The sequence below is a fragment of the Homo sapiens genome, chromosome 1 (assembly GCF_000001405.40).
Source record: "Homo sapiens chromosome 1, GRCh38.p14 Primary Assembly".
NCBI lineage: Eukaryota > Metazoa > Chordata > Mammalia > Primates > Hominidae > Homo > Homo sapiens.
In genome coordinates this window covers 72,402,557-72,415,907 of record NC_000001.11, presented here as the reverse complement: position 1 = coordinate 72,415,907, position 13,351 = coordinate 72,402,557, and the positions used below count along the sequence as shown (strand labels likewise).

The following is a 13,351-nucleotide window of genomic DNA, read 5'->3' as shown; positions in this document are numbered from 1 at the left end:
CAGTATGGGGGAAACCACTGCCATGATTCAATGATCTCCACCAGGTCCCTCCCACAACAATGGGAATTATGGGAGACACAGTTCAAGATGAGATTTGGGTGGGGACACAGAGCCAAACCCTATCAAGAAGCATGGTAGCATCTGCTTCTGGGGAACCTCAGGGAACTTTTACTCATGGCAGAAGGCAAAGCACAAGTAGGCATCTTACATGGCAGGAGCAGGACCAAGAGGCAGGGAGGTGCTACACACTTTTAAACAACCATATCTCATGATAACTCTATCACAAGAGCAACACTGGGGGATGCTGTTAAACCATACGAAACTGCCCCATGATCTAGTCACCTCCCACCAGTCCCCACCTCCAACACTGGGGATTACAATTAAACATGAGATTGGGGCAGGGACACAGATTCAGACTATATCAAGCACCATATAATATTGTGTGCTACCTAGTTATTAGTTGGTTTCATTTCCTATACTGCGGAATCTAAAAGGGGAGAGCTTTCCTTATCTTCATCCTTGAACAGTAATTGGCCCAGAACAGTCCTTAAAAATACTTATTTATTCATTTAAATTTGCTTCTTCTTATCATATTCATATCACACTTTATGATATTCTGATTCTAAGACTCAACAAATATCTCAATATTTGCATTGTTATAATCATATAGCATCATCACTCAATTCATATCCTAATTAAATTAGGTAAAATAAAGTGAAGGTTTACCCACAGAAAGTCTATCTTTCAAAAAAGACACCTAACTGGTTAAAGGAAAGAAATAGGTCTTATTATTTTATTTAGTTTGTCTTCTCCAGACAGCAAGGTGATCTATTAGAATACAAAGTAAGGATTTTAATGAAACAGGCATTTCCCAAGGAGTCTCCTTTTTGGCATATATTTATAGGGTTAATCAGTGTTCCATAAAACTACATGTTTCTAAGGCTTCACCATTGCTTTCCCCCAAGAGGTTTGTAACACTAATGAGTATTGATGACATCAATATATGATTCACAAAGAAGTTGGTAATTTAAGCTCTAAATCTAGAGAGAATAAGCCAATGTAATTAGAATAAAAGAAAATTAACTTCCCAATGTCTCTGTAGTTTTAAGTGTGGTGTTGTTTGCTTCTGAATAAGCCTCATTTTTATACATCCATAATTCTCTGTTGCAATTATTCAGAAAGTAATGAAAGTGTAAAGGCAATCTTATGAATGGAGGGTTAGAGAATCAGAAAGTACTGTGTGTCTTCAGGTGTATATAATATATTCATCTGCACTTAATTGCAATATTACAAACATATTTAACTCAAGTTCCCAAACCTCAAAGACCTCATGCTATCTCCAATATTCTCAATTAAAAATGTCCCTTAAGAGATCATCTGTATTTTGTTTTTTAAGGCCAACAGGCTGATGGCATGGTTTGTTTTAAATTTGTGGGCATGTGGTATTTTCTACCATCTGAAAATTATAAATATAGCCTTAATAAACTAAAAGTAAAGTCTTAATAAAGAAAAGTCCAGGCACCAGCCAACATATAAATCTTATTTTGGGGGAGAGGATATATAAAGAGGGTGAGTGAGTATTGATTGAGCTTTCTTGGTACCCCTGAAGCCACTTCTCAGAATAGTTATGTCTCTAACACACATAAAACTGGCTTTTCTGAAATGAGCACCATGCATGGTGACTTCTCAATATTGAACTTCAGGTTTATCTGTTTTGGTCAAAATGGCTGAGTTCTGACATCTGGAAAATAACAACAGTATTGCTAGATCCTGGATACTCACAAACTATGTTTATTATGATATTTCTGGCAACACACTGCATGCATATTCATGGCTTTGAAATGCTTCCTATTTCTATAGATTCATTCGTCATTTGCAGGTGTGATTATGGATTCATGAATGCAGCTAATCACTTCTAATATGTACAGTAATCCTGCCACTGAATTGAAATTTTCCTTGATTTTTTGATGAAGCTACGGCCCTGAAAGAAGCTCACTGAATTCTATAATCCAGAATAGTCTTCAGGAATAGTTAGAGCTGTACATAAAAGCCGGTTTATTTTGAGTTTACTCCTGATTACACTTGATAAGGACTTTAGGAGACTCTTACTTGTACTCTCACTGCCCCACTATAGTCCAGCCACCATGTGTCATGTGTGAGTGCCCACAGCAACATTCTAACATCTCCTATATGTTAGGAAAAGAAGATGTGACCATAAGCCCACAGTTTAAAATTGATATCCTGTTCATTTGAGAAAGAATAGAATGTTTTATCTTCCCAGGTTAAATAAAATTGTTAACTGTTTTCATAAACTGAAAACAAAGCCACTGCAGCCTCTGTGTAAAATCATGATCTCAACTGATGTTCCATCAATTTCTCAATTTTAACAAGAAAAAAAATTAGAAATTTACCTTTCTTCTCATTTGTGACCTCAACATGTTGCACAATAGAATTCTTGAAATATTTGAAACGTTCGGAAAGAAAAGTACCCCAACAGCATAGAAATAGGTCTTCCAATGTAAAAAGAAAATGAGAGAATTTTCTATGATTTTGTGACTTTCTGACACTGCAGTGGATGCAGGATTTTAGAGACCTTGCTTCTCTGGTTAGGTGCTGGGCTGAACCTGAACCACACTGCTGTCAAAGGAATCTCAGCCACCTCAGACTCTCAGCTCATTAAAAGTGACTTGAGGGAAGAGACATCAACCTGCATAATTAAATGTCTCTACTCATGGCTTCCCCCAGGTGCAGTTTCCAGTCATCTCACCTGCTTTCCTGGGTAACTCAACTTAGATTCTCATGCTGGCTCCTTTTTTGACAAGTCCCTTGACCAAACCACACTTGCCCATGCTTTTTCCCTATAACTATGTCTCTTAGATTCCTGCATTCACTCAGTTCTTTGTACTTCTGTCTAATTTCAGTCTTACTAGATCCCATATCATGCCAGACATGACACTTCCAATATAAAATCCTGGATAGAGATGATAGGAAGGTGATATGCATAAATTTATTGCTTTTCCCCCTCTATATTCCCATGGGTTGTGACACAATTGTTGATTTCATCATTTCGAGTATTGATTCTCTTATTTTTTTCTAAAGTTTGTATACATAGAAAAGTCGAAATATTTTTGCTGCTTTTGTTTTTGTTGGTTTGTTTTTGTTATTTTATTTAGAGGAAGTAAACTGGAATTACAAAGGTTAGTAGCTGCCTCACAGCCACACACCTAGTAAATGATGGAGCCAAGATTTGACTCCAGAGATTGGATATTAAATCACTTTACACTCAATAATTTTTGTTTAACTAAGTTCAACTGTGCTAGTCAAAGGATGTCAGTCACTAAGAAACAGACTGGATGCTACTCACAAAGCATAGTCAGTAAGCAGGGAGTCAGCATAGCCAAATTCTTTCAGCAAGTAGTCAGGTCCCAGTCACCAGGTAGTAATCACAAATCAGAATCACTGCTCTTGGGATTGGGTGCTGGAATATTGAAGATGACTCCTATTCAGTAGGAATGATGCATCAAGAATATTAGTAAAATGACTCAAATACAAATACATAAGGTGAATTTTAAGTTTCCTAAATACCAATGAAGTAAAGGCTACACTAGTAACAAGGACTACTTTGTGATGCGTCCTGCAGGTTTGGAACAGATCTCCCTGAGGTCTTTGTCTCAGATTAGGATTTGCCATATAAATTTGTCAGAATGAGACTGTTTTTGGTGGGGACAGAAGGGTTGAAATTTTTATTAACAATAATTCATAGACTGTATGGAGATTTACTATAAGTCATACCAGACCTGCTATGGCTCCTTTGAGGCAACAACAATGGCAATAGCAGTCTCTAATTCACCTTTATATCATTCAGTACTTTGTTCATGAATAGTTTGGAATGATTCTAAGCTTGACTAAATCCCTGAAAGTCTGTGGTTCTAAACTACTTGGCACATTTACATTTTACATCACAGGCTGTCCTTTTTTCCTTTTTTTTTTTTTTTTTTGTTAGTTTTTGAGAACTGAGAATCCTATAATGTTTATTATTATAATGACCAAGTTACAGAATACAGATGAAGAAACTTAGCTCCATCTCATACCTTTACTAAACGCAGATTTCCCTTTCAGCTAAGAATGTGGACTTCCAAGACAGTTGGCTTAGGTGCAAATCACTCCTCCACATTAGTGGCCATTAATATAATTTTGGGAAAGTTGTTTAAGCTTTGTGTCTTTATAAAAGTTTCCACAATTGTAGACTAGGAGGTATTAAAAGTATCTATTTCATGGGGTTGCTTTGGGGATTAAATGGGTAGATATTATGAGGTACTAAGTGCCTAGCACAGAGGAGGAGCTCAGTATGTATTATCTATTATAACAATAGTCACAAAAATAAATATCAACTTGCTTATTTCTCTCCATTTTTGCATGCAAAGATATGACATGTATAAAAGTTATATAAATGGAGGATAAAATAAAAAGGATTGTATATTTTCCAAAGAGAAAGTAACTTGTATCTCCTATAATCATTCATAACTCTCATAGTTTATTAGGACTGAATATGATAAAAACACATTGAAATGCAAATATTGTATCCATTAAGGAAGCAGATGAGGACTTAGTTAACTTTCTCATCTATATAAAGGATGAAACAGTCACTGGGTTAAATACCTTTCTTCGGTTTGTTACTATAAACCTTTAGAAGAACCTCCACTAAAATGGCACTGTGGACAATATAGAACTTTCACAGGATTTTATGGTTTTCAGTGTAGGGGAAAATGACCATTTAATACATAGCCATATCTTCCCAAACAAAAGAAAAATAAGGTCACCATCCAAGTACTGGAACTCAGAGTACTTTCTTAATAAAAAATGTATAAAAAACTACATGTGCTTCCCATTTCTCATCCACATTTTCCAAAGACTAATTGTGCAAATCAAGTAAAATAATAATGTCCAAAATGTTTGTGGATAATTTATTCTATTCTTATAATCTTAAAAAGTTTTGACTAACTTTGTCGCTTCTTTCCGCAAACAAATAAATAAATGCCAGGTTCTAGGGAAGATTAACAAAAACAAAAAACAACAAATAAGTGCATAGCAATATAAAGAAATGAGAAAATGAGCCAGGAAAAACCCAAATTTCAAATTTACATTATACAACCAATTTATAAAACAGGAAATTTATATATATGCATAAAACTAAAAATCTTTTATTCAACTCTTTAAAAAAATATCTGGAACCCTTCCTACATGTCTCTTTTGGTTAGGCAGATAATGGCTCCCAAACCCTGTGGAGCCTGTGAATAATTTACCCTACATGACAACAGGGAGTTTGCAGATGTAGCTAATTTAAGGCTCTTGTGATTACTCTCGATAATCTGGGTGAGCTCAAAATAATTGCAGGAGTCCTTATAGGAAGCAGGAGAGTAAGAGTCAGACAAGGGGGTGTGACAGTGGAGGCAAAGGTCAGAATGATGTAACTACTGAAATGAGGCCAGGAGCAAAGGAATGCAAGCATCCTCTAGAAGCTGGGAAAATCGATTATCTCTTATCATTTCCAGAATAAAACACAGTTCTGCTGACACCTTGACCTTAGCCCAGTGTGACTTCAGGACTCTGTTATTATAAGAAAATAAATGTGTGTTTTCTAAGCTACCAAGTCAGTGGTAATATGTTCCAGCTTTAAGAGAAAAGTAATATGTTATTTGTTGGCATGATTCATGTTTATTGGGACCAGATGATTTGAAGGGACAAGACGTACACGTGTAGGATGATGAGGTAAACTGAATATCATGAGGTAAACTGAATATTTAGGTTTTCTTTTTCTTTTTCTTTTTCTTTTTTTTTCAAATTGCAGGGTGCAAACAAAACATGTCTGCGGTGGTCAACAGAAAGGCAAATTATTCCTGGATGGAATCGATAAAATTTGGAGGTAGATAAAAATGCAATGCAGATATAAAAACTGAGTCCCTGCTGTATTGGCGAGTTCTGTAGAATTAATGTTAACGTTATAAAATTAGTTCCAAAATTTAATAAAAGCCTGAACTTATGATGTTAAAGATTAGTCACTGATCATACTGTTAATATTTTAACAAAAAATTCTAATAATTGAATATTTCTCTTTTGTACCAATAAGTATGTAATCTGTTGTCATTGCCTATTTGTGTTACTTTAGCCACATATTGTAATTAAATATGCTAGAAATAATCTTCACCATAATATTAATACTATTTCTCCTAATCCTCAATCCAAATGACAACTTAAAACTTTCCCTTTATTTCAAGTAAGATCGTAAACAAATTTCCAAAACTTCTATTTACTTACCAGTATCTCAGGAAGAGTCCCTTCAAGTCAAGTAGGATGGTTTATTGAACACAAAATCTCTTTGAACAAATGAATCTTTAACTTGTAGTGAAAGTGAAACACACACATACGTATTTGGCAGCAAATTGATTCACAGTCAGATGAGATCAATGAGGATGCTTGACAAATTAAATTGGATCATCAATTTGAGTCATTGCATGATTTTTTTAACAGATAGATTTGCTCAGTTTATGGCTTGTTGACCTGCAGATAGTATGCCATGAGAGTCCAGTGATAAAAATGATGGTTTGGGCAATGAAGGCATATTTGATGAATGAGAAAAAAAGGGAAAAATAAGTCTACCTATGTACAAGAGGAAAATATACAGAAATTAGAGGTGTATATTTATGACTGCTCAGATACTGGCTATAAGTTGAGGCTTAAGCTGTTATCTAAAAAGCCTTTTGAACTGATACCTAACACATTTTCCATGACTGTTAGTTACCATTAGATCAGAGTGACAGAAAATCTGTCTACTTGCCACTCTCTCCTTTCCAGAGAACTGAACTAGGAACTTTGCATGCTTTGATGAGTTACTTCACTTTCTTATGTCTCTATCATGGAACTGTAATTTGAGATATATTTTCAGTTTTCAGGCCACTGTATAAGTGTCAGAAACTGAGAGAAAGTTGAAAATTTCCTACTCATTTCCTCTATCTTTGGATGAAGATAAAAATAATTTGTTTCACACTCCTTGAAGATGCATGTGATAGTATCTAACTATGATACAGATGTGGGTCAAACAGGGATACTTCCATGCCCACCGGCTCTGGAAGTAAGTTTAGTCTTTACCCACTCTCTGACAGGAAATCTGAAGGCATATTAATTTGTATTTATTATGTATCTCTTGTAGCTTGACCTATTCAGTTATTTTTGCCACCTCAAGTGTTAGTGGACATTTAAAAACACCTAAAATCATGGATCTGAGACACAAAAAAATAACAAATGAGTTTTATAATCCTAAACCTTCTTTTCATCCGGTTTTTCAGGTTTCACTGATAAACTGTGTTTATACAGCCCATTAGGTTTGTCCCTGAGCACTTCAAAAAAGGTATTAAATTAGTAAATACTGTTATTTAGTAATGTAGGCACTATCATTGTGGATCAGAAATTCAAGCTGTTAAAATGTAAAATATCTGGAGTTTTTGTATAAATTGACCTGTGCATTCCAGATCTCCATGCTCCAAATCTTCATACAGTTTATGTAACTAATCAATAGGATGACTTGGTTTTTTTTTAATGACTCTTCATGTACAATTGTAGATTTTTAATTTCAAAATTTTATAAATATTTAACATATGTGAAGAAAGTCCCTTACACTAAACCACTGTGGTCTTGATATTTTATATTTTAATATCCTGAAGTGTTATGACCAACATAATAGACATAAAGTTAATAATTTATTTTCGCAATATTCATCGTGTTTTTATTTACTCTAATATACTCATGAAAAAAATGGTAGGAAAATGTATCCCTTTCCTGTAGATATATAAAGGATATAATTTTACACATAAGCACAAGAGACCAAAATAAGGATTCAAGTTCAAGATTCTCTGAATTCATTACATTGTTGAGGTAAACACGTTGATGTAGCTCATTAAAAAGAAAGAAGAGTGGATCATTAAAATCCTTCCAAAATTTACCCATTTATAGACAAATCCATCTGTACTGACAGTCATTCAGCTACGTGTTTTTCCATAAACATGTGTAAATGTAGCAAGATTTAAATTGTTTCTCTACAATGAAAACACAATTTGGTTCTAGTTTCCTGATTGTATATTATACTCTTTCTGAAAATTTGTGTTTGATCCTTTGGGTGGTAATTGGCATTCATCTCTCATATGCTGTTTTATCATGTGCTTTTCTCCTTGTACATTGAATTTGGCTATGAAAATATAATATTCTTAAAATCAAATATGTATACTTTGGGGATGATAAATTTGAAGGCATATTAATTTGTATTTAATATGTATCTCTTGTAGCTTGACCTAATCAGTTATTTTTGCCACCTCAAGAGTTAGCACAAGATGCTTCCCAAAATTTGACAAAAGTGAAGACAGTATGGTTATTACGGGTATTTAAAGAAGAATATAATGACATAAAGGAGGTGCTCTCTAAAGCTCAAGAAAAGAAATAAAATGTGGGTATTATGATTTGCCCAGAAGACTATTTTCTCCTTGCCCAGGTGGCAAACCTCAGCAATGTGAATCCTCCAGATTTTGCAAGTAGATTAAGATCAGTGAGTTGAAAAACAAAACATATATATATGTGTGAGTGTGTGTGTGTGTGTGTGTGTGTGTGTATATATCTGACTGCTTTGAAGACAGAAACCTATAAAATCCAATAGTAAACTATTGTAAATAAAAAGTCTAATTATAAAAAATAAAAATTATAAATATATTTTGAAATGAAATAAAATTTTTAAAAGCCTGTACTGCTCTAATGTATGTAAAAATGAGAAAACAGTGGACAATATTAACTGGTTAAATAGTGAAGACACAATGGTAGCAAAAATATAAATTATGATGGGGAACTGCTAAATTGACAGTCATAGATTGCCAGCAATCTAGAAAACAGTTATAAAGCAAAATATGAGTGAAACTTAAACTGCATATATAGAAAAGTTTGTGGGTAATTAAAATTAAAAGTGTCCCTCTCTTCCATAAACTAACAACTTCATATTATATTTTACAGTTGAATTATGCTATACAGGAGTTCCTGTAATAAACTATAAGATTCTAAAAGAAAATTCTGATTATAACATCTTTGTATATTATTTCAAGCACCCAGACTATTGCCTTTCAGAGCAAGAGACATAAGAAAAAATTATTGGTTGAATGGATGAATGAAAGAATGAAGTCACATATAAATAGTTTCAGCCACTCTTGATTCTCTAAATCAAGAAGTTTACATAAAACACTACTCTCTAGTTCACAACTATCTTGTAAACAGATTTTCAAATTATAGATGATGGAACTGGAATGGCTAAAATCATGAATTATAACCAGTTAGATAACATAATGACTAAGAGTATGGGCTCTTGAGACAGGCAAACTTAATTTGAATTCACCACCTGAAAGTTGTAGAAATTAATTAAGATAATATCCTCTCTGATTTTCAGTTTTCTGTTGGTAAAATAAAAATAAATATGATAAAAATAATTTCAAGGCCACTATAAGAATGAAATGTGAATTATTAAGTCAAATATTTAGCACAGTGCCTAGCATAGAGACATAATAGTATTATTGTTTTCATGCCTATTTTAAAATTACATTCCAAAACTATTCCAGAAAAATAATTTATGACCTCTAAAGCATATAAATATGTTTTAGAAAACAGTAACACAAGATAACAATAAACTAGTAAAGTTAGTCAATCTAAATATACATTGAAAGCCTACCATGTAACAAGGACAATGTGGCATGTCAATATGAACACAACTAAAACTTCACACATGATTGGTACAAAAATTTATAGTTTTACATTTCTCTTCCCTGAAGTTCTTCAAAATGCAAACAAAGGAGCCCAAAATAAATAAAACTTTATCTTCTTTGTAATTAGACAAAGATCCCACAGAGTCCAAAGAAGCTCTTCTAGATATAATGCAACTTGGATGAAGTAATACAAGAAAAAATCATATAGTACCTAGCAAGAACACTCAATGAGATCTCACCTATTCTTACTTTTAAAATGTTAAAAGTCACTATGAATATATGAATTCATAGAATAAAAAAATTGTACTGAAATATATAATAAAAATTACTAAATATGCATCATGCTTGCAAATCGAAGTTAATGCAAGGTGCCTTTCTAAGAATTTGACAGAATCATTAGATAAAATAAATGACATTGTAGATTTGGACCACAATTTATTATCTATTGAACATTGTCCAGGATTGATCAAGTGCTGGGAATAATTTACAAAATTACTCACTGTTAAGCCTGTTTTTTTTTTTACTATAATGAGTGATATGGAGAAAATAAATGCAAAAAAATAGAAATAATCTGATAATAAGAAATTATTTAAAAACTCTTTTTTAAAATTATACTTAAATTCTGGGATACATGTGCATAATGTGCAGGTTTGTTACATAGGTATACACGTGCCATGGTGGTTTGCTGCACCCATCAACCTGTCATCTCCATTAAGTATTTCTCCTAATGCTATCCCTCCCCTAGCCCCCCATCCCCTGACACACCCCGGTGTGTGATGTTCCCCTCCCTGTGTCCATGTGTTCCCATTGTTCTACTCCCATTTATGGATGAGAATATGCGGTGTTTGGTTTTCTGTTCCTGTGTTAGTTTGCTGAGAATGATGGTCTCCAGCTTCATCCATGTCCCTGAAAAGGACATGACCTCATCTTTTTTTATGTTTGCATAGTATTGTGGTGTTTATGTGCCACATTTTCTTTATCCAGTCTATCATTGATGGGCATTTGGGTTGGTTCCAAGTCTTTGCTATTGTGAATAGTGCTGCAATAAACATACATGTGCATGTGTCTTTATAGTAGAATGATTTATACTCCTTTGGGTACATACCCAGTAATGGGATTCCTGGGTCAAATGGTTATTTCTGGTTCTAGATCCTTGAGGAATCACCACACTGTCTTCCACAGTGGTTGAACTAATTTACACTCCTAACAACAGCATAAAAGTGTTCCTATTTCTCCACATCCTCTCTAGCATCTCTTGTTTCCTGACTTTTTTTTTTTTTTTTTTGAGATAGAGTGTTGTTCCTGTTGTCCAGGCTGGAGTGCAATGGCATGATATCGGCTCACTGCAACCGCTACCTCCCAGGCTCAAGCGATTCTCCTGCCTTAGCCTCCTGAGTAGCTGGGATTACAGGCATGCGCCACCATGCCCAGCTAATTTTGTATTTTTAGTAGAGACAGGGTTTCTTCATGTAGGTCAGGCTGGTCTCAAACTCCCGACCTCAGGTGATCCACCCGCCTCGGCCTCCCAAAATGCTGGGACTACAGGCATGAGCCACCGTGCCTGGCCTGTTTCCTGAGTTTTTAATGATTGTCATTCTAACTGTCATGAGGTGGTATCTCATTGTGGTTTTGATTTGCATTTCTTTAATGGCCAGTGATGATGAGCTTTTTTTCATGTTTTTTGGCCACATGTCTTTTTTTGAGAAGTGTCTGTTCATATCCTTCACCCACTTTTATATGGGTTTTTTTTTCTTGTAAATTTATTTAAATTCCTTGTAGACTCTGGATATTAGCATTTTTTCAGATGGATAGATTGCAAAAATTTTCTCCATAGGCAACCTACAAAAATTCTTTTTATAATGCTTTAGACAAATATATTTTTTAATTATATATTATGTTTAAAAGTATGACAGTAACAATATTAAACATTAAACTTTTAAAAGGCAAGTAAAATTACATAAACATCAAAACATTACATTTGTATTTACAAATACTGTTTTAAAATAAAAATATAAACAAAAATAGTCTAGAAAAAGAAACTTATAACTAGATAAAATTGATTTAGGCACCAATTAATATAAATCTATACAATAATGAAATAAAAAAACCATTTATATAAATGGGACTGAGAGCAGGGTTTTTGACAAGAATGATAATATGGACAAATTTCAATAAAGGCTATTGTTAGAAACATAAAATATGCAATATCCAAAATATCTACCATTCGGAATGGGAAATGATATATGGCCACAGATATGCAATAAATAAAAAGATAATACTATAGAAAATAGAATTCCAGTTCCAGCCATAACAGAGTAGATAGCACTAATCTTGCCAACTAAAACCATAACCCTTGATAAAAAATATGTATGAAAACGTTTTGAAGGTCATAGAGATCATCCAGTGCAGACAGGCTTGAGGAGTTAGAAACTGAGAGAAAGGGAACTTACATGGTGAGATTTAGTCACCTCTGCTTTTTCCTTAGAGCCATTTTTTAACTTGCAGTGCAGCAGATTAACTAGCATTCTTATACAACTGGAGACCTGAAAATCGAAGTCTGGGATAACTAAACTTGTGGAGTCCTGAGGATCTTGGAAAGGGAATAAAAATACATACACACGAAAAAAGAAGTCTGATATTTTGAGTACAGCTTCCCACTATGTCATTGCCCAGCTTCTAAACTGTGTATTCATAGGAATGAGCTCTATGAAATTCAATAAATCTTGGCTGGAAGGAGACTAAAAAGTTGAGTGGGGATGAGAGTAGCCCCCTGACACAAGGGCAGAGAGGCTGAATTCAAATCACTATAAGATGAAGGAAAACACATTACATTTTTTAGTCAAGAAACCAAAAGAAGCATACATTCAAGAAGTAAGGGCTATACCCTAAGAACAATAAGTATGTCACTGGGGTAACAGAACTCAAGAATAACTCTAAGAAACCCTAAAACCAGGACTTACTAAGAAAACCCATCAGTGTTCTGTCTGCCTGCCAACAGAGAAGTTAACCCTGTTTGCAGGAACATAATAGCAGAATTTACTAAACAAAATTTAAGACATGCTAAAAATAGTATCTATTAAATAAGCTCCCGAACTCCACCAAGAAAAAGATAAAACAAAGAGACTACCAATGATTCATTCATTTATTGAAGATATCAGATATGAACTTAATAATTATGATTACTATGTTTGAGAACTTTAAAAAAATGACAAACTAGATGAAGAGATGGAAAATGTCAATAGAAACTGGAATTTATAAAAATTGTGTTTATATTCCAGATCTACACGATATCTGAAATTAGGAATTTATTAGACAGATCTAACAGCAGACTTAACAGTGGAAAAACCAGTGAATCCAAATTCAGGGTGAAGGAAAACACAACTAAAGCAACAAGAGGAAAACCTATGGGAGAAAAAGTAACAACATAATGAGAAACATGGTCAAAGGAATAAGTACATGTAATTGAAAATGGTGGAAGGAAATGAAAAGGAGATTGCAGAAAAATAATCAGAATACACAAAGCTGAAAATTTTCTACAGGTAATTAAGACCGCTTACACAATG

General features: G+C 33.9%; 2 long non-coding RNA genes across 5 annotated transcripts in view; one reads left to right on the top strand and one right to left on the bottom strand.

The window, feature by feature from the left end:
* Positions 1 to 5,957, top strand: part of LOC105378796 (uncharacterized) — a 56,436-nt gene extending 50,479 nt beyond the window's left edge. The window contains exon 4 of the long non-coding RNA XR_001737673.2: positions 5,849 to 5,957. This is a non-coding gene — a long non-coding RNA (uncharacterized LOC105378796). The remainder of the gene's footprint in view (positions 1 to 5,848) is intronic.
* The window catches only part of LOC105378797 (uncharacterized), a 396,491-nt gene that overhangs the window by 263,517 nt on the left and 119,623 nt on the right, over positions 1 to 13,351 (bottom strand). The gene's annotated exons all lie outside the window — the stretch shown is intronic.